Genomic DNA, 24,167 nt, shown 5'->3' on the forward strand with positions numbered 1-24,167 from the left:
GCTCGCCTCCCAGGTTCACGCCATTCTCCCGACTCAGCCTCCCAAGGAGCTGGGACTACAGGTGCCCACCACCACACCCAGCTAATTTTTTCTATTTTTTAATAGAGACGGGGCTTCACCGTGTTAGCCAGGATGGCCTCGATCTCCTGACCTCGTGATCCGCCCGCCTCGGCCTCCCAAAATGCTGGGATTATAGGTGTGAGCCACCACGCCCAGCCTACCCCAACAATAGTTTTAATTGAATTGCAGTAAAATGGAATTGGCCAGTCACAGTGGCTCATGCCTATAATTCCAGCACTTTGGGAGACTGAAGTGGGTAGATTGCTAGAGCCCAGGAGTTTGAGATCAGTCTGAGCAACATGGTGAGACCCTTCCTCTACAAAAAATACAAAGAATTAGATGGGGCTTGCACGCACCTGTGGTCCCAGCTACTCAGGAGGCTGAGAGGGTGGGAGAATCGCTTGAGCCCGGGAGGCAGAGGTTGTAGTGAGCTGAGATCACCCCATTGCACTCCAACCTGAGGAACAGAGCAAGACCCTATCTCAAAAACAACAACAACAACAACAAAAGAAGTAAAAAGCTGGGGGATATAAAGCAAAACTGACCTTGAGCAGAAAAGTTAAAGAATGACTTTTTCAAGTGCAGACTTAAGGCCGGGCGCGGTGGCTCACGCCTGTAATCCCAGCACTTTGGGAGGCCGAGGCGGGCGGATCACGAGGTCAGGAAATCGAGACCATCCTGGCTAACACGGTGAAACCCTGTCTCTATTACAAATACAAAAAATGAGCGTGGCACGGTGGCGGGCGCCTGTAGTCCCAGCTAGTCGGGAGCCTGAGGCAGGAGAATGGTGTGAACCCGGGAGGTGGAGCTTGCAGTGAGCCGAGATCGCGCCACTGCACTCCGGCCTGGGCGAAAGAGCGAGACTCTGTCTCAAAAAAAAAAAAAAAAAAAAGTGCAGACTTAAGTCAGACAAACTGCATTTGAGTTCTGGATTTGCCACTTGTTACTGAAACAGGACTTGTATTTGTAAATATTAAAACAATGAATCTAAATACTTCCTTAAATTTTGTTTGCTAGCTTCCCATCTCTGGACTGAAAGCCTAGAGATTTATTGCCCCATGACAAGAGAGAGCAGTCACCCGCCCTTTTTTGAAGGACATTTGGGTCTTCTAGTTAGAATATCAAGTGCCTAAATGGCCGGGCGCGGTGGCTCATGCCTGTAATCCCAGGACTTTGGGAGGCCGAGGTGGGCGGATCGCGAGGTCAGGAGATCAAGACCATCCTGGCTAACACGGTGAAACCCTGTTTCTACTTAAAAAAAAAAAAAAAAAAAAAATTAGCCGCGCGTTGTGGCGGGCGCCTGTAGTCCCACCTAGCTACTCCGGAGGCTGAGGCAGAAGAATGGCGTGAACCCGGGAGGCAGAGCTTGCAGTGAGCCAAGATTGCGCCACTGCACTCCAGCCTGGGCGACAGAGCAAGATTCCATCTCAAAAGAAAAAAAAAAGAATATCAAGCTTCTGACTATGTAAACAAGATATTCCTGCCTGCTCGTAAGACTTTTCCATAGTCTAGAGCGGAGGAGGAGACAAAGTTAGGTGGGGAGAAAAAGGAAAAGTGGGAGAGATAGGAGGAGGGAATGACAGACGCAAGGATCTTGATTTCTTTAGGTTTGGAGGGAATTGGGGCATCAGAGGCTTTGAAGCAACTGCTGATGGTAAGGGGAGGTTCTTGCCCTGTTTCCCATTTTAGGACGCAGAGATGACTTGACAGGAGGGCTGCCCCTTTTCTAATCTGGCAGTTCAGCCCAGTCAGGGCTGATCTTGAGGTAGGGGGAGATCTTGAGATTTAGCTTTCCCTGGGGTGTGACTGAGGCCCAGAAGTTTCCCAACCCTCAGCCCTTCCTCAAAATTAGAAGATAGCCGAGTTGGATGCCAGAAGGTCTTCCATATGTAAAGTTCCCAGCCAATATTAGTATTGAGTATTCAGCTATGTAGAGATTTTCTGAGGACTGAGACAAAACTTTGAAAAGGTCTTTTCTCATCTCCATGCCTAGAGATCTTAGAATAGATCACAATTCCTGGCCCTCTTCCTGTCTCCTCCTCTCCCCAATTCCCACCAGCTCCCTTCACCAGCTTCATCTGGGATGATTTCAGTCTAGGGCTTCTCAGAAGCAGAGAGTTCAACCAAATGACCTCTTGAGGTTTCTTTCTACTTCTACTTTATGACTCAGAGAATGTATTGAATTACTTACTCTTTTATATTCTACAGCCACATTTTTCAGTCACTTCTCTGACCTTGCTATCTACACAATTTCCTTGTTTTGCAGTTTCTAAAAAGGAAAGTCAGATAGAACATGTGTATTCTCATTTTAAAAGCATACTGACAGCATGCGATAAATTCTAAATTATTAAAAATATCTCGGCTGGGCAAGGTGGCTCACGCCTGTAATCCCAGCACTTTGGGAGGCCGAGGTAGGTGGACCACTTGAAGCCAGGAGTTCGAGACCAGCCTGGCCAACATGGTAAAACCCTGTCTCTACTAAAAATACAAAAATTAGCTGGGTGTGGTGGCACATGCCTGTAATCCCAGCTACCTGGGAGACTGAAGCAGGAGAATCACTTGAAATCTGGTAGGTAGAGGTTGCAGTGAGCCAAGATTGTGCCACTGCACTCCAGCCTGGGCAACAGAGTGAGACTCTATCTCAAAAAAAAAACAAAAAAAACCTCTTTCCCCCTCTTGCATTTAATTGAATGGTATAAACGTGGTGTGGAAGGCTTTCAGAAATTCCAGTGAAAACCACCATCACCTGCCACAGAACTCATTAAAAGGCTGAGACTGCAGTAGTTATAAAGGTCTGGTGCGAGACAGGAGTGTGGTGTTCTTGAGAAGCTGAAAGATGGTCAGTCTGGCTGGTGGGATCTGTCAGGCCTCTGAGCCCAAGTTAAGCCATCATATCCCCAGTGACCTGCACTTATACATCCACATGGCCTGAAGCAACTGAAGATCCACAAAAGAGGTGAAAATAGCCTTAACTGATGACATTCCACCATTGTGATTTGTTTCTGCCCCACCTTAAATGATCAATGTACTTTGTAATCTCCCCCACCCTTAAGAAGATTCTTTGTAATTCTCCCCACCCTTGAGAATGTACTTTGTGAGATTCACCCCCTGCCCGCAAAACATTGCTCCTAACTCCACCACCTATCCCAAAACCTGTAAGAACTAATGATAATCCCACCACCCTTTGCTGACTCCCTTTTCAAACTCAGCCCGCCTGCACCCAGGAGAAATAAACAGCCTTGTTGCTCACACAAAGCCTGTTGGTGGACTCTCTTCACCGGGATGCGCGTGACAGGATCCATGATCTGGAAGCCTCCATAAAGGGATGTGGGGGTGACTGGCCCCAACCTTCTTTCTTTTTTTTTCCTGGCCACGTAGAGAGACTATATTCCCTGGCTCCCATACAGATAGGAGTAGCTGTGTGACTAAGTTCAATGGAACATGATTGAAAATGATGTGTGCACATCCGTAACAACTTAGCATAACCTTAGTTGCTTAACACAACATAAATTTATTCTCTTACTTCTGGAGGCCGGAAGTCTGAAATGAGCTTCACAGGGCTCAAGTCAGAGTGTTGTTGGCAGGGCTGCTTCCTTCTGAAGCTCTAGTGGGGAATTCTTGCTTTTTCTGGCCTCTGGAGGCCTTCTGCATTCCTTGGCTTGTGACTCATTCCTTGCATCACTCCAGTGTTTTCAATCTTCATATCTCCTTACTTCTTTATCCTTGACTTTCTTGCCTCGCTCTTATAAGGTCATTATATTTAGGGCTCATCCAGATAATCCAGGATAATCTCCCCATTTTAAGTCCCTTAATTTAATCACAGCTACAAAGTATCTTTTGCAATAAAGATAACAATCACAGATTCCAGAGATTAAGATGTGGACATCTTTAGAGGCCATTATTCTGCTGACCACAGTGATCCTAGACACTCCATCTCTCCATATCTGCCAGCTGAATGCAGAGAATGAGGAAGCCAAAGAGATAGGGGAAGCCAAAGAGTAGAAGGAGCCTGTGTTGCTGAATGACCAGGTAGAGCAGAGCTCCCTTGCTGAGTACACTGGACTGTGAAATGAAGGAGAAAAAAAAATTATTGTGTTAAGCCACTGTGGTCTTTTAAAGACACACCTCACCAAGCTCAGCCTCCAACTTAAAAATGACTGGACAGTACTTTTACCTATTGCCCTTCTCAGAATTAGAGCCTGTCCTTGAGATGCTACAGTGTACAGTCCATTTAGACTTTTATATGGATGCATTTTTTTTTTTTTTTTTTTTGAGACCGAGTCTCGCTCTGTCACCCAGGCTGGAGTGCAGTGGCATGATCTCGGCTCACTGCAACCTCTGCCTCCCAGGTTCACGCCATTCTCCTGCCTCAGCCTCCTAAGAAGCTGGGACTACAGGCGCCCGCCACCATGCCTGGCTAATTTTTTGTATTTTTAGTAGAGACGGGGTTTCACTGTGTTAGCCAGGATGGTCTCGATCTCCTGACCTCATGATCCGCCCACCTTGGCCTCCCAAAGTGCTGGGATTACAGGCGTGAGCCACCACGCCTGGCCTGGATGCACTTTCTTACTCGGCCCCAGCCTCGTCCCAGACACCGGCCCTCTAGGCGGCTATCTTCCAGTCCTCCAGTAAGCTAGACAGGAAATTCACCAGGCTGCTAATCTTCTCTTGCCTATTCCAAATTCCTAGCCATAAGAAGACACCCTAGCTGGACGATCAGTTCTTGTTAAGAGTCTGACCCCTCAAACCCTACAACCTCAATGGACTAGACCCTACTTAGTCATCTATAGTACTCCAACCGCCGTCTGCCTGCAGGACCCTCCCCATTGGGTTCACTGTTCCAGGATAAAGCTGTGTCCCTCGGACAGCCAGCCTGATATCTCCTCTTCCTCCTGGAAGTCACAAGTATTCTCCCCTACTTCCCTTAAACTCATTTGCATTTCTGAAGAACAGTAATAACCCTTATGAGCCTAATACATCCCTTCATTCTATTAGGTCTATCCATCCTTACCCTACTCTTTGCAACAGGACTTTATGCAGTCACCCCCACTACTTGGACTGTGCCCCAAAACTTGTCATCCCTACTATATTCTGTCTAGTCATACTCCTATTCACCATTCTCAACTACTCATAAATGACCTGCTCTTGTTTACACTGCCGGTTTACATTGTTTCTCCAAGACATCATAGCTGATATCTCCTGGTGCTATCCCCAAACTGCCACTCTTGACTCCCTCTTGGAGTGGATAGATGATCTATGGTGGCAGGGCACCCCCCAGTACTTCCACCCTGATGAAGTTCTATTCTTTACTTTTGTACTCACTCTTATTCTCATTCCCATTCTTATGCCACTCTCTACCTCTCCCTAGTTACCTCCAGCATACTATCAATCTCACCCACTCTCTCCTCACTGTCTCCAATCCTTCTCTAGCAAAGAATTGTTGGCTATGCATTTCCCTTTCTTCCTGCTTTTACACAGCCACCCCCACTCTATAGGCTGACTGGGCTACCTCTCCCGTCTCCCTGCACCTCAGAACCTCCGTTAATAGCCCTCATCTTTACTCACCTGAGGAACTCCTTTACTTTCTAGACAGGTTGGGTGAGAACTCCCCAGATATTTCACACCAACAAGCTGCCACACTTCTCTGCATCTACTTACGGCACCTTTCTCCTTATGTCAATTCCACCCCCCTATATTTGGACCCCTAACCACACAAACAACTATCCCTGTTGCCGCTCCTCCCAACAACAGCCTACTGGAATCCCTTTAGGCAACCTTCCACTGTCCAAATGTTCCTTTACTCTTTATCTCCAGAGCCCAGCCACACACATTACCAAACAGATGGGAGCATTCTGACTTTGCATTACTGATAAGCCCTCTATCATTACTGACAAACTAAAACACATTGGCAGTCACTATTGTTTAGGAAGACACCTACCCTGCATCTCACTCCATCCTTGGCTACCCTTCCCCTGCTCATCTGAATCTCCTCCTAGCCCCTCCTCTTGCTTGCTTATACCCAGCTCCATGAATAGCAGTGAAAGGTTACTTGTAGACACTATGCGCTTTCTCATACACCATGAGAACCGAACCCCTCCCTCTACACAGTTGCACCATCAATCCCCATTACAATCTCTAACAGCTGCTGCCCTTGCTGGATCTCTAGGATTTTGGGTGCAGGATTACTCTTTCAGTACACCCTCTCATCTTTTCACTTTACATTTCCAGTTCTGCCTGACAAAAGGTCTCTTCTTTTTATGTGGCTCTTCCACCTACATGTGCCTACCTGCCAACTGGACAGGCACATGTACTCTAGTCTTCCTTACCCCCAAAATCCAGTTTGCAGATGGGAATGAACAACTGCCTGTCCCCCTCATGATGTTAACAGGACAAAAAAGAGTCATCCCACTAATCCCTTTGCTTGTGGGTCTAGGACTCTCTGCCTCCACTATTGCACTTGGAACTGGAATAGCAGGCATCTCAACCACTGTCACAACATTCTGCAGTCTCTCTAATGACTTCTCTGCTAGCATTACAGATATATCACAAACTTTATCTGTTCTCCAAGCCCAGGTTGACTCTTTACCTGCAGTTGTCCTCCAGAACTGCCGAGGCCTTGATTTACTCACTGCTGAGAAAGGAGGACTTTGTATATATATATATATTTTCTAATTTTATTATTATACTTTAAGTTTTAGGGTACAAGTACACAACGTGCAGGTTTGTTACATATGTATACATGTGCCATGTTGGGGTGCTGCACCCATTAACTCATCATTTAGCATTAGGTATATCTCCTAATGCTATCCCTCTCCCCTCCCCCCAGGACTTTGTATATTTTTAAATGAAGAGTGTTGTTTTTACCTAAAGCAATCTGGCCTGGTATATGACAACATAAAAAAACTCAAGGATAGAGCCCAAAAACTCGCCAACCAAGCAAACAATAACGTTGAACCCCCTTGGACACTCTCTAATTGGACGTCCTGGGTACTCCCAATTCTTAGTCCATTAATACCTGTTTTTCTCCTTTTACTCAGACCTTGTGTCTTTCGTTTAGTTTCTCAATTCATACAAAACCGCATCCAAGCCATCACCAATAATTCTATACGACAAATGCTCCTTCTAACAACCCCACAATATCACCCCTTACCCCAAAATCTTTCTTCAGTTGAATCTCTCCCACTGTAGGGTCCCACGCCACCCCTAATGCCCCTGGAAGCAGCCCTGAGAAACATCGCCCATTATCTCTCCATACCACCGCCAAAATTTTTCACCGCCCCAACACTTTACTGCTACTTTGTTTTATTTTTCTTATTAATATAAGAAGACAGGAATGTCAGCCCTCTGAGCCCAAGCTAAGCCATCATATCCCCAGTGACCTGCACTTATACATCCACATGGCCTGAAGCAACTGAAGATCCACAAAAGAAGTGAAAATAGCCTTAACTGATGACATTCCACATTGTGATTTGTTTCTGCCCCACTCTAACTGATCAATGTACTTTGTAATCTCCCTCACCCTTAAGAAGGTTCTTTGTAATTCTCCTCACCCTTGAGAATGTACTTTGTGAGATCCACCCCTGCCCCCAAAACATTGCTCTTAACTCCACCGCCCATCCCAAAACCTATAAGAACCAATGATAATCCCACCACCCTTTGCTGACTCTTTTTTTGGACTCAGCCCACCGGTACCCAGGTGAAATAAACAGCCTTGTTGCTCACACAAAGCCTGTTTGGTGGTCTCTTCACATGGACACGTGAGACACCTATGTCTATATCCTTGCCCTAGTCTCATTGTGGGCAGAGCAGACTTCCTGGCCCTTGACTTTAGGCTTGACCATGTGACTTGCTTTGGCTAACAGCGTGTGATTTGAAGTGACAGTGTGCCTAGACCTTAAGACATTACTTGTGCTTCCACTTGCATTCATTTGTCTCTGCCATTGCCACAAGCTCAGACTACATCAGCCAAATCCCAGCTGACCTACAAATCTATGAATGATTATTGTTGTTGTGGGTTTTTTTTTTTTTTAAGGGACGGGGTTTCACTCTGTTGTCCAGGCTGGCATGCAGTGGCATGATCATAGCCCATTGCTGCCTCGAACCTCCTGGGCTCAAGTGAGCCTCCTGCCTCAGCCTCCCAAAGCACTGGGATTATAGGCATGAACCACCACACTGGGCTGATTATTGCATTAAGCCAATAAATCTTAGGGTGATTTACCAGACAGCAATGATTGACTAATATAAACACTGAGATTTTAATTTTTTTTTTTTTTGAGACGAAGTCTCACTCTGTCACCCAGTCTGGAGGGCAGTGGCACAATCTCAGCTCACTATAGCCTCCATCTCCTGGGTTCAAGTGATTCTCCTGCCTCAGCCTCCTGAGTAGTTGAGACTACAGGCATGAGCCACCACGGCTCATTAGAGACAGGGTTTCACCAAGTTGGCTAGGCTGGTCTCAAACTCCTGACCTCAGGTGATCCGCCCACGTTGGCCTCCCAAAGTGCTGAGATTACAGGCATGAACCACCAAACCCAGCCTTAATTTGTTTATTATAGCAGACTAAAACAGAGGCTGGGAGAATAACTGACTGAAGGAACTGGAAGAATAGAATGCTGTGGCCAGAGAGTGAGGATGGAATCTATTATTCCAGTTTGAATCTATTATTCCAGTAGAGTTGCAGTTCCCAGTGACAGGGTGTGACCATAGAAGGCAGTGGCTAAAATTGAGTGGAGGCATAGCTCACTAGAGATAAGCAGATCAAAGATAATGACAGAAATTCAGGCGAAAAAGAAGACTTGTTATAAACCAAATGCCTGAGCTATCACTGAATGAGGGGGACTGGTCTTGAGACTGGAAAGCTAAACATCAGGTCACTTTGGAAAGAAAAAAAATTAGATTGTTATAATGACTCTGAATACTAGCTGGATGTGGGAGCCCTCCTCCTAACTCCTATTGTATGGGAAGGTGAGATCACAATTGGGAGGTGAGATCTTTACTTGGAAAGATAAACTGTACTTGATCTTGGTTGTCTAATCCAGTCCCCTAGGACAAGAAAAGCAGTGGGGCTGGGCAGCCTCCATTGAATGACAGATGTGAAATTATACTGGAGCTTCTGCTGAGTGGACCAAAGATCAGTAGTGCTGGCGGGGTACTTCAACAAGGCCTGAATTAAATGCAAATGCAAAATGTTTTCCACTGGCACATTTAATGGAAAATTGCTTCTGTATTAATTGTCTCATAAATTGCACAGAGACAAGAAATAGCATGAGAGTATTTTGCATATCCTCTATAGAAATTAAGTTTTCTGGCTAGGCATGGTGGCTCATGCCCATAATCCCAGCACTTTGGGAGGCCGAAGCAGGTGGATCATGAGGTCAGGAGTTCAAGACCAGCCTGACTAACATGGTGAAATCCCGTCTCTACTAAAAATACAAAAATTAGCTGGGTGTGATGGTGCGTGCCTGTAATCCCAGCTACTCAGGAGGCTGAGACAGGAGAATCGCTTGAACCTGAGAGGTGGAGTTTGCAGTGAGCCAAGATCATGCCATTGTACTCCAGCCTGGGCAACAGAACAAGACTGCATCTCAAAAGAAAAAAAAAGAAAAGAAATTAAATTTTCTAGTAAAAATACAATCATAAGATAAATGGGCTTGATGTTTGAGTGCTCCTAAAAAAGGGCCTGGACATGCTTATAAACTCACTTCTTTCCTTTTTTTTTTTTAAATCTTGCTTTATTTATTTATTTTTTTTAGATGGAGTCTCGCTCTGTCTCCCAGGCTGGAGTGCAGTGGCGCGATCTCGGCTCACTGCAAGCTCCGCCTCCCGGGTTCACGCCATTCTCCTGCCTTAGCCTCCACTGAGTAGGTGGGGCTACAGGCGCCCGCCACCACTCCCGGCTAATTTTTGTATTTTTAGTAGAGACGGGGTTTCACCATGTTAGCCAGGATGGTTTCGATCTCCTGACCTCGTGATCCGCCCTCCTCGGCTTCCCAAAGTGCTGGGATTACAGGTGTGAGCCACTGCGCCCGGCCTAATCTTGCTTTTTCTGCTTATGTAGAACTCACTTACTTCTGCAGCTCTAAAGGCATCCTGAAGATATAAAGTTCATTTTCCAACACAGTTGCTTACGCCTGCCTTCTGAAACAGACTACAGTTTCCTTTACTGATCATGTTTTATTTATTTATTTATTTTAGAGATAGGGTCTTGTGATTGTTGGCCAGGTTTGTCTTGAACAGTTAGCCTCAAGCAATCCTCCTGCCTCAGCCTCCCAAAGTGTTAGGATTACAGGCATGAGCCACAGCGCCCTGCCCCTTTCCTCATTATAGATGGCATTGCAGTGGTGCATTTCTAATCCCAAACAGTTTATATGGTATGATAGGCAGAATAATGGCCCCCAAGAAGTCTGTGTCCTAATCCCTGGAACCTGTAAATATGTTACCTTACATGGCAAAAGGGAATTAAGTTAGCAGATGGAATTAAATTTGCTAATCACCTGACCTTGAGATGAGATTATTGTGGATAATATGTGAGCTCAATATAATATAATCACAAGAGTCCTTATGAGTGGAAGAGGGAACCTGAAGCTGAGACCAGAGAGATGGCAGTGTGAGAAAGACAGCAGAAATGCACCAAACTCCAGAAGCTGGAAAAGCCAAGGAAACAGATTCTGCCTTAGATCCTCCAGAAGGGGCCAAGCGCGGTGGCTCACGCCTGTAATCCCAGGACTTTGGGAGGCCGAGATGAGCGGATCATGAGGTCAGGAGATCAAGACCATCCTGGCTAACACGGTGAAACTCCGTCTCTACTAAAAATACAAAAATTAGCCAAGAGTGGTGGCGGGAGCCTGTAGGCCCACCTACTCGGGAGGCTGGGGCAGGAGAATGGCATGAACCCAGGAGGCAGAGCTTGCAGTGAGCAGAGATCGCGCCACTGCACTCCAGCCTGGGAGACAGAGCGAGACTCCATCTGAAAAAAAAAAAAAAGATCCTCCAGAAGGAATGCAGCCCTGTCAGCATGTTGATTTTAGCTCCTTGATTTCAGTGAAGGCCCTTTTTCACTTCTGACCTCCAAAACAAAACGATAATAAATGTGTGTTTTCTTAAACCATTAAGTTTGTGGTAATTCAGCGCAGCAGCAATAGGAAACAAATATACATGGCATTCTCAATTCTGTGAGCTATTCCAGGATCCCTGAAGCAAATCCTCCTTTTTACTTAAGCTAATTTGGGTTGGATTTTGGTCTCCTTCAAAGCAATTTACAAGATCTCTTATTATAAAACAGTACTTCTCACTAGGACAAAAATCAGACCTTCAGAAATAAAATACATGTGCTATACCCTAAACATGTCATGACAAGATTTCTTCTGAGTGATGAATGGACAGGAAAAAGAAATTTGAAGAAGTATAACAAACTAGCATTTGACAGGTAAGAGTATGTCACTGAATTAAAATGTAGATAAGGGAGCCACATGTTCTAATTTCCCTCTGATTTCTTCTTTGTCTCACGGGTTATTTGGCAGTGTGTGATTGGATTCCAGAAAGATATTCCAAATATCTTTCTGTTGTTGACTTCTAATTTAATTTTATTGTGTTCACAGAAGATCCTTTGTATTATTTGAAACTTTTGGCCAGGTGTGGTGGCTCATGCCTGTAATCCCAGCACTTTGGGAAGCTGAGGGGGGAGGATCACCTGAGGTCAGGAGTTCAAGACCAGCCTGGCCAACATGGTGAAACCCCGTCTCTACTAAAAGTACAAAAAAATTAGCCGGGAGTGGTGGTGGCACGTGCCTGTAGTCCTAGATACTCCGGAAGCTTAGGCGGGAGAATCACTTGAACCCAGGAGGCAGAGGTTGCAGTGAACCGAGATCGCACCATTTTGCTCCGGCAGCCTGGGTCACAGAGTAAGATTCCATCTCAGAAAAAAAAAAAAAAAAAAAAAAAAAAAAAGGCCGGGCACAGTGGCTTATGTCTGTAATCCCAGCACTTTGGGAGGCTGAGGCAGGAGGATCACCTGAGGTCAGGAGTTCAAGACCACCCTGGCCAACGTTGTGAAACCCCATCTCTACTAAAAGTACAAAAATTAGCCAGGCTTAGTGGCAGGCACCTGTAATCCCAGCTACTCGGGAGGCTGAGGCAGGATAATCACTTGAACCCGAGAGGCAGAGGTTGCAGTGAGCCGAGATTGAGCCACTGCATTCCAGCCTGAGCGACAAGAGTAAGACTCTGCCTCAAAAAAAAAAAAAAAGAAAGAAAAAGAAACTTTTAATATGAGTTTCAATTTCTTTTTTTTTGCCTTTTCAGACGGAGTCTCGCTCTGTCACCCAGGCTGGAGTGCAGTGGCACGATCTCGGCTCACTGCAACCTCTGCCTCCCGGGTTCAAGCTATTCTCCTGCCTCAGCCTCCCAAGTAGCTGGGATTACAGGCACACACCACCACGCCCGGCTAATTTTTGTATTTTTAGTAGAGATGAGGTTTCACCATGTTTGTTGGTCAGGCCAGTCTCAAATGCCTGACCTCGTGATCTGCCCACCTCAGCCTCCCAAAGTGCTGGGATTACAGGTATGAGCCACCCCACCTGGCTCAATTTTGTTTAAACTTTAAAAATGTATTTAGATTTGAAGCCATTACTCTCAGCAAACTAACACTGAAGCAGAAAACCAAATGCCACATGTTCTTATAAGTGGGAGCTGAATGATGAGAACACATGGACACATGGGGTTGAACAACATACAATGGGGCCTGTTGGAGGGTGGAGGGTGGGAGGACAGAGAGCACCAGGATGAACAGCTAATGAATGCTGGGCTTTTTCTAGGTGGTGGAATGACCTGTGCAGCAAACCACCATGGCACAAGTTTACCTATATAACAAACTGGCACATCTTGCACAGGTACCTCTGAACTTAAAAGTTGGAAATTTAAAGACATGTATGTAGACTTGTTTTATGACCCAGAAAATAGTTGATTTTGATAAATGTTCTGTGTGCCCTTAAAAAAAGAATATGTATTCTGAGAAGAATATGTATAGAATACAGAGTGTTCTGTAAGTGTCAGTTAGGTCACATTGGTTGATAATGTTGTTCAGTCTTGTCTACTTGTTCTATTAATCATTGAAAGAGGTGTTCAAATCTGTGACTATAATTGTGGATTTGTCTGTTTCTCATTGCAGTTCTATCAGTTTTTGCTTCATGTGTTTTGAAACTTTGCTGCTAAGTGTATAAACACTTAGAATTATGTCTTCTTGAGGAATTTGACCCCTTTTCCATTATAAAGTGAACCTCTTTATACCTGTTAATATTCTTTGCTCTGAAATCTACTTTGTCTGATATTGATGTAGCCCTTGAAGCTTTCTTTTAAATTGTGTTAGCATGGTATATATTTTACCATCCTTTTCTTTTAACCTGTCTGTATCTTCATATTTGAAATGGCTTTCTTGTGGAATCATATAGTTGGTTCTTACTTTTGTATCCAACCAATCTTATCCAACCAATTGGTATCCAGCCAATCTCTTCCTTTTAACAGGGATGTTTGAACCATTTATATCTAATGTGACTACTGATATGGGATATGTCTGTAATTAAATAAACCATCTTGCTATTTGTTTTCTATTTGTCCCACCTGTTCTTTTTCCTTTCTCTCCCTTTTCTGCCTTCTTTGGGATCAATTCAGTATTTTTATGAGTCCATCTTAACTCCATTATTGACTTATTAGTCTTTGTTTTATTTTTTTCTTAGTAGTTGCTTCAGGATTTGCTATAGTCTGAATGTTTATGTTCCCCCAAACTTCATATGTTGAAAAACTTATCCCCAAAGTGATAGTATTAGGAGATGGGACCTTTGGGAGGTAAGTGATTGAGGCAGAGCTCTCATGAATGGGATTAGTGCCCTTATAAGAGAGACTTGAGGCTGGGTACAGTGGCTCATGCCTGTAATCCCAGCGCTTTGGGAGGCTGAGGCAGGTGGATTGCTTGAGTTCAGGAGTTTGAGACCACCCTGGGCAACATGGTGAGACCTGGACTCTACCAAAAATGTAAAAAATTAGCCAGGCATGATGGCATGTGGCTGTGGTCCCAGCTACTTGGGAGGCTGAGGTGGGAGGATCTCTTGAGCTTGGGAGGTGGAGGCTGCAGTGAGCCAAGATCATGCCACTGCACTCCAGCCTGGGCAGCAGAGCCAGACCTTGTCTCAGATAAATAAATAAATAAATAAGTAAACAAACAGACAAATAAATTAAATAAAGAGACTTAAGAGAGATCTCTCACCCCTTCTACCATGTAAGGGTAGGGTGAGAAGACCCTATAAAGAAGTGGCCCCTTACTACACCCTGAATCTGCCAGCACTTTGATCTTGGACTTTTCAGCCTTCAGAATGGTGAGAAATAAATTTCTTTTGTTTATAAGCCACTCAGCCTATGGTACTTTGTAATAGCAGCTCCAATGGATTAAGACAGGGTTTATAATATGCATCTTTAACTTATCAATTTGACTTGAAGCAACAGTATACCACTTCACATCTAGTGTTAGGATCTTACAGCAGTATATCTTCATTTCCTCCCTCCTAGCCTTTGTTGTCATACATTTTATTTCCATTCATTATAAATCTCACAGTACATAAGGCAAAAATAATAAACATTGCTTATTAAAAATTGGCTGGGTGTGGTGGCTCACGCCTGTAATCCTAGCACTTTGGGAGGCTGGGGTGGGTGGATTGCCTGAGCTCAAGAGCTCGAGACCAGTCTGAGCAACATGGTGAAACCCTGTCTTTACTAAAAATACTGAAAAAAAAAAAAAAAATCAGCAGGGCATGGTGGCCCATGCCTGTAGTCTCAGCTACTCGGGAGGCTGAGGCATGAGAATCGCTTGAACCCGGGAGGCAGAGGTTGCAGTGAGCCGAGACTGCACCACTGCACTCCAGCCTGGGCAACAGAGCAAGACTCTGTCTCAAAAATAAATAAATAAATAATGTCTTTTATGTTTACCCTCGTATTTACCATTTTCCATTCTCTTCATCCCTTTGTATAGATCCTGATATCCATCTGGTACAATTTTCCTTCTATCTGAAGAACTTCCTTTAAAAATTTTGGTAATACTGGCATTCTGCTTATGAATCCTTTTAGCTTTTGTATATCTTTAAAAATCTCAGCTGAGTATGATGGTTCACATCTGTAATCCCAGCACTTCGGGAGGCCAAGTTTGGAGGATCACTTGAGCCCAGGAGTTCAAGACAAGTCTGATCAATATAATGAGAACTTGTTTCTATAAATTGTTTTAAAAAAGCAGCTGGGTGTGGTGGCACATGCCTGTAGTAACAGTACTTGGAAGGCTGAGGTGGGAGGATCAACTGAGCCTGGGAGGCGGAGGTTGCAGTGAGTCAAGATTGCACCACTGCACTCCAGCCTGGGCTACGGAGCAAGAAAGATCCTGTCTCAATAAATAAATAAGTAAATAAATAAATAAATAAATAAATAAATAATAAAGCAAAAGCAAAAAATATTTCCCATAGCTCACTGGTGCTCTGTCCAATTTTTTTGGTCTTTTCCTCTGTGTGTTTCATTCTGGATACTACGCCTTCAAATTCACCTCCAAATATTTTCTTCTTCAGGGCATAATTTGCAGTAATCCCATCTAGTGTATTTTTTATCTTAAATATGGTATTTTTCCATTTCCACAAGTTTGATTTGAGTCTTTTTAATATTTTCCATGTTTCTAATTAATATTCTCATACTTTCTTCTACCATTTTGAACCTACAGAGTATATGATAGCTGTTTCAATGTCCTCGTTTAATATGATATTTCTCTCATTTGTTCAATTTATGGATTTATATTGCTTTATTTTTCTCTTCAGTATTGGTTATATTTTTCTTCTTCTTTTAATAGTTGATTGGATGTCAGACATTATAAATTTTACCTTATTGGGTGCTGGATTTTTTTTTTTTTTTTGTATTTCGATATCCCTTTAAATATTTTTTAGCTTTGTTTTTGTTTTGGTACACACCCTTCTTCAAATCTTCGGCTTTCTCTCTCTTCCTCCACCTGTCTCCCCAGGGCTCATCTCTATAAGTTCCAGATGCCTTTGTTTTTTCAAATTCTTAGTTCTGGCTCCTTAACTCAGGGAGACCTCAGGGCTTCGAGACTCTACCCTGGTTCTCTGCTCTGTGCTGCTACCTGGAAACTCTCCCCAGGCAGTAAGAGAAGACAACTGTGAGGCTCATCTCTTTTGTTTCCTTTCAGGGATCACTGTCCCACGCTACCTGTTGTCCAATGTCTGAAACTGTTGTTTCAGATTTTTTTTCAGTTTAAGTTTTTTTTTTTTTTTTTTTTTTTTTTGAGATGGAGTCTCTCTCACCCTGTTGCCCAGGCTGGAGTGCAGTGGCGCAATCTCGGCTCACTGCAAGCTCCGCCTCCCGGGTTCACGCCTTTCTCCTGCCTCAGCCTCCCGAGTAGCTGGGACTACAAGGCACCCACCCCCATGCCCGGCTAATGTTTTTGTATTTTTATTAGAGACGGGGTTTCACAGTGTTTGCCAGGATGGTCTCGATCTCCTGACCTCGTGATCCGCCCGCCTCGGTCTCCCAAAGTGCTGGGATTACAGGCGTGAGCCACGGTGCCCGGCCCAGTATAATTTATTGAATAATCTTTGTCTCCCTTCCTGAATTAAAATGCAGCCATATAGCAAATTACCATATATTCTTGGGTCTATTTAACAGAATGCTGTATTAATTTTTTTTTTTTTTTTTTTTTTTTGAGACGGAGTCTTGCTCTGTCTCCCAGGCTGGAGTGCAGTGGGGCGATCTCGGCTCACTGCAAACTCCGCCTCCCAGGTTCACGCCTTTCTCCTGCCTCAGCCTCCCCAGTAGCTGGGACTACAGGCGCCCGCCACCAGCCTGGCTAATTTTTTGTATTTTTAGTAGAGACAGGGTTTCACCGTGTTAGCCAGGATGGTCTTGATCTCCTGATCTCGTGATCTGCCTGCCTCGGCCTCCCAAAATGCTGGGATTACAGGTGTGATCCACCGCACCCGACCCAGTTTAAAAAATTTAAAGGCAACATGGCAAATTTTTCTTTTCTTTTTTTTTTTCTTTTGAGACGGACTCTTGCTCTTTTGCCCAGGCTGGAGTGCAGTGGCACGATCTCGGCTCCCTGCAACCTCCACTCACGGGTTCAAGTGATTCTTCCACCTCAGCCTCCCTAGTAGCTGGGATTATAGGCGCCTGCCACCATGCCTGGCTAATTTTTGTATTTTTAGTAGAGACGGGGTTTTGCCATGTTGGCCAGGCTGGTCTCAAACTCCTGACCTCAGGTGATCGGCCCACCTCAGCCTCCTAAAGTGTTAGGATTACAGGCGTGAGCCACTGCGCCCAGCCAAGATGGCAAATCTCATTCCCCTTGCTCCGTTATGGCAGAAAGCAGAAGTCCCAGGAGCCATATTCCAGTTACAGATATGTTACTTTTACCCCTGAGCAAGTTAGTTAATCTCTCAGACCTTACTACCTCAAATGATTTTAAATGATATTTATACATGTGTAATACATATGTCAGCTTCATAGAGGTTCCCAAGTCCTTTGGAACTCAAATAACATTTGGTTCAAATACCCGTCCCATTTTCTCAGAGGATACTCTGGGGTTTAGTTTCCTTTTGGCGTTCTCTGGTTCTGAAATCTTGCTTCCAGCAATGCTAAAGCTCCGGTGCTCTGTGTCACCTTGTCCTCTCACTGGCACTGGAGACTGCCTCAATCTCTTCTCTGTGAAGCACCACTATCCAGAGTGTATTATTGTTGAAGGAAGAGAGCCACAGAAGGGGATGACATTCTGGGGCAGACTGACCTAATCTGGATTTTAACATTTCTTAACTTAAAAATTCCTGGTCCATTCCCATTTATGGAGAAATCATTCTGTGTCTCTTCCATTCAGGCTGTAGCCTCTAGGCATTGTGCTGGGTCCCTCTTAGGGTCACTACAGGTCCTTATAGTGCCTTTGTGCACATTTAGAAAAAGGTACCCTAGGCCGGGCACTGAGGCTTATGCCTGTAATTCCAGCACTTTAGGAGGCTGAGGTGAAAGGATCAGCTGAGGTCAGGAGTTCGAGACCAGCCTGGGCAACATGGCGAAACCCTGTCTCTACTAAAAATGCAACTATTAGCCTGGCGTGGTGGTGGGTGCCTGTAATCCCAGCTACTTGAGGTAGGAGAATTACTTGAACCCGGGAGGTAGAGGTTGCAGTGGCTGGGTAACAGAGCAAGGCTCTGTCTCAAAAGAAAAAAGAAATGGGCACTACATTCAGGAGGCCTCACAACAGATGGCCAGATTGCAGCCCCAGTGCCTCCTCACCTGGCTGACTTACTTGTCTCAATCCCTCAGATTCTAATTTATTTCTTATAGAGTAGTTTACTCTTTCTTTACTTGCCCCAAGCCATCAAACTTATTCCCAAAGGGTCTCATTTTTATAATTAATTTTTAAAATGTGCTCCTAAACCATAATAGTTCTAACTAGCACTGGGATCAGTTTTGATTTTTTCTTCCCCTGCTAAATGTACACCATGATGATGGCAGTAGTGAGGAAGACAATGACAACAATCCTTAAGCCAATATGTTTAAGTTATTACATGAAGAAAGACAATGCCCTTTTCCAGGAAAATAAATGGTCTTTTCTTTGACATGTAAGAGATTTCTTGTTATACCCCTATTCACTACAGAATAGAAACTAGAGTTTCTAAAGTACTTTAAGCTCTCAAAAATAAAAATGCTTAACTCTGCAGATGCATTTGATAAATGTATCTGTATGGCAGCAAGCCAGCAAGTTCCTGAACGACAACAGGATGTAAGCTCAGCTTTATGAAGCATATTTATTGTCAGAGTCATCACATTCTCTAACAGACCATGGGGAAGTAAGAGACATGGGCCGCAATTTTGACATCATATGTTTCTGCAATTTAAAAATGCACCAACAGCATTTGGGAGAAACAAAAAAGGCAGGATGTTAAATGTTCACACCAACTATAAGTTACATACTCATTTCAGAATTTTAAAGTGAGAACAATAAAAACATATCATGGAAGCAGAGAGCGTATCTACTTTTTGTTTAGGTCCTCTACAGCACATTTCTCTATATCTTGAAGAAAAAGTCATTTTGCTAATATTGTTGCTAAATAAATGCACAGTAGTCTTTAAAATAGACTTTGAAAAGGCACCATTCCTATTAGGTTGGTATAAAGATGAAATGAAATAATACATGTAAAATGCTTAGTGTAATGCTTGAAGCATAATACTGTTGACTACTCCACAGAAATTCAGAAGGAATCACAAAGAGAAGACTAGGGGATTATTTATTCCTGGTATTACTCAATCCAATTCAACAAATATTTAATGATCATCAACTTTATTTTTATTTTTATTTTTTTGAGATGGAGTCTCACTCTGTTGCCCAGGCTGGAGTGCAGTGGTGTGATTTCAGCTTACTGCAACCTCTGCCTCCTGGGTTCAAGCAATTATCGTGCCTCAGCCTCCCAAGTAGATGGGATTACAGGTTTGCGCCGTCGTGCCCGGCTAACTTTTGTATATTTAGTAGAGACGGGGTTTCACCATGCTGGCCAGGCTCGTCTCGAACTCCTGACTCCAGGTGATCCACCTGCCTTGGCCTCCCAAAGAGCTGGGATTACAGGCGTGAGCAACCACGTCCAGTTGATCGTCAACTTTATGCTAAGAATTGGGCTGGAAGCAGGTATAGGAGGAAATAGAAAAGAATGCTGTGGCCAGGCAAAGTGGCTCACATCTGTAATCCTAACATTTTAGGAGGCTGAGACCAGAGGATTGCTTCAGCACACAAGTTTGAGACCAGCCTGGGCAACCGAATGAGAACCTTCTCTATAAAAAATTAAAACAAAAATAAATTAGCCTGGTGTGGTAGCATGCACCTGTTGTCCCAGCTACCCAGGACACTGAGGCAGGAGGATTGTTTGAGCCCGGGAGTTTGAGTCTATGATTGCACTACTGCACTCCAGCCTGGGTGGCAGACTGAGATCCCATCTCTCTAAAAAAAAAAAGCCGGGCACGGTGGCTCACGCCTTGTAATCTCAGCACTTTGGGAAGCCGAGGCGGGCAGATCATGAGGTCACGAGATCGAGACCATCCTGGCTAACACGGTGAAACCCTGTCTCTACCAAAAATACAAAAAATTAGCCGGGCATGGCAGCATGTGCCGGTACTCCCAGCTACTTGGGAGGCTGAGGCAGGAGAATGGCGTGAACCCAGGAGGCGGAGCTTGCAGTGAGCCGAGATGGCGCCACCGCACTCCAGCATGGGTGACAGCGCAAGACTCCGTCTCAAAAAAAAAAAAACAAAAACGGTATGTTTATCTTGTTTTAGGAGGAGAGAGCAGAGGACAAATATTGGATATATTTAATTTTATTAACTAAATGTTAAGTTTAAATATTGACAATGTCACACTTGAATTACTGAATATGTTTAATTTTATGAAGTATGTTATGTTGCTCTAAATATGCATATTTAGTTTAATGTGTATTGTTTTATGTAGATGACTTAGAGATAATTTTGTATTTGTCAGTAATCCTAACCACAGAATGTTATAGTTTTCAGTGGCACTAACACTTTCTTCTCTAAGAACATTAAAATAAATGAGCCAACTGGAATAGTGCCATCACCTCTAATTATTGGGTCTTAGGAGTAAATAGATCAATTAAGAACTATGCCTTACTTCTAAAATAGCAATCTTAGAGATGTGCTAGGACGTGACAGGTCCTTGTTCCTGATGACAAGGGTGAATGGCCTTGTAGGTCTCTTTAAGGAGATTGCATGTTAGCCTAGGTTTTGTAATAGCCAGTCTCCAAGATGGCCCTCAGTGATCCTTGCCTGTTGGTATTCGTGCCCTTGTGTAATTTCCTCCCACACTGAATTAGGGTTGGCCCTCTGTGACCAATAGAATACAGCAGAAGTGATGGTGGGCCTTCCAAGGCTGTCATAAAATCCACTGATGCTTCTGCTTTGGTCTCTGGGACCATTCTGGGAAAAGCCAGCTACAATCCTATGGGGACCCTGAGTAACCCTTGTAGGAAGGCCCATATGGAGAAGAAGGAAGGTGCACAACCAACAGCCAGCACCACTTTGCCAGTCCTGTGAATTAGTCAGCTTGGAAGTGAATCCTTCAGCCCCACTCAAGCCTTGAGATGACTGCAGCCCTGGCCAAATCCGATTGCATCCTTCTCAGAGCAAGAACTTCCAGGCCAAACTCTTCCAAATTTCCTGACCCACAGAAACCATGAGAAATAAAATGATTATTGTTTTTCTAACTCACTAAGTTTTAGAATAACATGTTATTGATACAGAAGGTATGGAAGTGATGTGACTCATTCAAGGAATTTTTGTTTTGTTTTGTTTTGTTTTTTATTTATTATTATTATTTTTTTGACAGGGTCTCACTCCTGTCGCCCAGGCTGGAGTGCAATGGTGCAATTATGGCTCACTGCAACTTCGACTTCCTGGGCTCAGGTGATTCTGCCACTTCTGCCTCTCAAGTAGCTGGGAACACAGGTGCACACAACCACCCTTGGCTAATTTTTAAATTTTTTGTTGAGATGGAGTCTTGCTATGTTGCCAGGGCTGGTCTCGACCTCCTGGGCTCCAGTGATCCTCCTGCCATGGCCTCCCAAAGTGCTGGGATTACAGACATGAGACATTGCAGCCAGCCATAGACCTGCATTTAGAAACAACTCTGCCTGAGGCCAGGCATGATGGCTCACGCCTGTAATCCCAGCACTTTGGGAGGATGAGGCGAGAGGATCACTTGAGGTCGGGAGTTCAAGACCAGCCTGGCCAGCATGGTGAAACCCTGTTTCTACTGAAAACACAAAGATTAGCTGGGCGTGGTGGTTCATACCTGTAGTCCCAGCTACTCAGGAGACCGAGGCAGGAGAATTGCTTGAACCCAGGAGGCAGAGGTTGCAGTGAGCCAAGATCGAATCACTGCACGCAGCCTGAGTGACAGAGCAAGAATCCCATCTCAAAAAAAAAAAAGTATATATATATAAAATATGTATATTATATATATACACACACATATATATACTTATGTATATTTTTATGTATATATACTTTTATATATATTTTTAAGACATCAGCAACATTGACTGGTTTTACTTATTTATTATTATATATTTTTTCATACAGAAACAAGATCTTGCTATGTTGCCCAGGCTGATCTTGATCCTGGCCTAAAGTTATCCTCCTGCCTTGGCCTCTCAGAGTGCTAGGGATTATAGGTGTGAGCCACTGTCCCAGCTCATAATCTGATTCTAAAGAGACAATTGATATCTTAAACTGAAATTTATTTTTAACTTTTTTTAAAATTTATTTTATTTTATTTTTAAATTTATTTTATTTTATTTTATTTATAAGAGACAGGGTCTCTTAACAACAACAACAACAGCTACTGTAACAATCTCCTAAAGTGTTTGTTTATGTGTTGAAATGTTTTCCTTTTTAACTTCACAGAAATCTTTTGGAAACTATTCTCTCTTACTTTGAAGAAATATTTATCTGAAGTTTAGCAATTCCTTCCATTTTACACCATTTTACTTTCATTCTACCCTTAGAACCAATGTATGTCTCGAGTTTGTGATTACAGCTTTGACTAAGCATGGCTCTCTCCTTCTTTGCTTGGGCAGTGCTTTAATGGATTGCCCAGCCATCTGTATGGACCCAGGAAACTATTATACTTCCATTGGAAAGTCCCCATATGTGATCTGTGTTAAAGAGCTATAGAGCACAGGTCACAGGAAGATTCACTCCCACCCAGGATAGGATGTGTGGCATGAGTTGACACTTGGGAAAGCTCCCTCTCAGACTGTTTTCCCTCTGTTTTTCCGCAGAATCTGAGATTCCATCATCAGATGAGTTCTCATTAGCTGGCTCCAGCAGTTGCTTACTAAATTGTATATAACTTTGTGCATCTTCCATTTGCCTTCCAGATTTACTTTCCACCCTTCCTCACCTTGCTCTGTAGGGCCACTGTCCTGTGTGGATCACTTCAATAGCGTTGGGTTTCAGTAGAGTTCAACCAATGAAGATCCCAGCAGAGATCAAGAAGAGAGGGCAGTGAGGGGTGTTATTATTGCCCAGCTTCTTTCCTAAGAGGTTGTCTTGGGCTGGCTAGGGTCCCTTGACTGAAGGGTCCCTTCTCTCAAGGAAGGCATCTCTCAATGGCTCTCTGAAGAATTTGCATCCTCCCATCATCCTTCCAGGCCTAAAGGTGGTATTATAAAAGCCCTGATACTGCTGTGCCTTGTGGCTCTCCTACACACTGCATGCACGTGTAAATAGTACCTTTATTAAACCCACTTTGAGTTATACTAATTTGGGTGTGCCATCTGTTTCCTCCTGGGACTTTGATAGAGACACCTTCATAGAAGCAAATTATTAAGCTATTATTGGCCATAAACATCCAATTATAAATTAGTTTGTAAAACTGGTTTTCAAGGAATAACTACCTGAGGTTGGACTCAGAGGGAATGAGACATAGGACAAATAAATCTTCACAGAGTTAAAGAGAAACAATACAATGCAACAAAGAGAGGAAGGGGGCTTGAAACTGGGAGATTTCAGTTTGAATTCCAGATCAGCAGTTTACCCCAGGGCCTCATTTTTCTCATCTCTAAAAGGAAGGTTTTAATTTTTAAATTTTATGATTTTGTTGAGACAGAGTCTTGCTCTGTTGCCCAGGCTGGAGTGCAGTGGCGCAATCTCAGTTCACTACAACCTCCGCTTCCTGGGTTCAAGTGATTCTCCTGCCCCAGCCTCCCAAGTAGCTGGGACAACAGGCGCGTGCCACCACGCTTGGCTAATTTTTGTATAAAATGAAGGTTTTTAAATAGAATAATGGCTTTCAATCTGTGTTCCACAAAACCCCAAGAGGTACCTCAATGTCCAACAACCTGGGAAGTGAGAGATGTAGAGAAAGGACAGGAAGAAAAAGACAGATCCCAACTCTACTTCAACCAGGACAGCTTTGCTCTGTCTGCTTATAGAGATTTCTGAGGTGATGTATACAAGACTGGATATTCCAGCTGCCAATCTTCTAGGGAAAAGTGAGCTGTGGGACATTT

General features: G+C 43.8%; 2 annotated features.

Annotated features, from left to right (window-relative positions):
* Positions 1,291–2,129: an enhancer, noted in NCBI's record as "H3K27ac-H3K4me1 hESC enhancer chr14:35117872-35118710 (GRCh37/hg19 assembly coordinates)". NCBI's record gives its function as "activates a minimal SCP1, AML or CMV promoter by ChIP-STARR-seq in naive H9 embryonic stem cells {active_cell/tissue: H9 hESC(naive)}" and the evidence as "EXISTENCE:reporter gene assay evidence [ECO:0000049][PMID:30033119]".
* Positions 4,469–4,687: a silencer, noted in NCBI's record as "fragment chr14:35121050-35121268 (GRCh37/hg19 assembly coordinates)". NCBI's record gives its function as "represses an EF-1alpha promoter that drives an FKBP-Casp9 reporter gene in an ReSE screen in K562 erythroleukemia cells {active_cell/tissue: K562}" and the evidence as "EXISTENCE:reporter gene assay evidence [ECO:0000049][PMID:32094911]".

Source organism: Homo sapiens, chromosome 14, assembly GCF_000001405.40.
Source record: "Homo sapiens chromosome 14, GRCh38.p14 Primary Assembly".
Taxonomy (NCBI): Eukaryota; Metazoa; Chordata; class Mammalia; order Primates; family Hominidae; genus Homo; species Homo sapiens.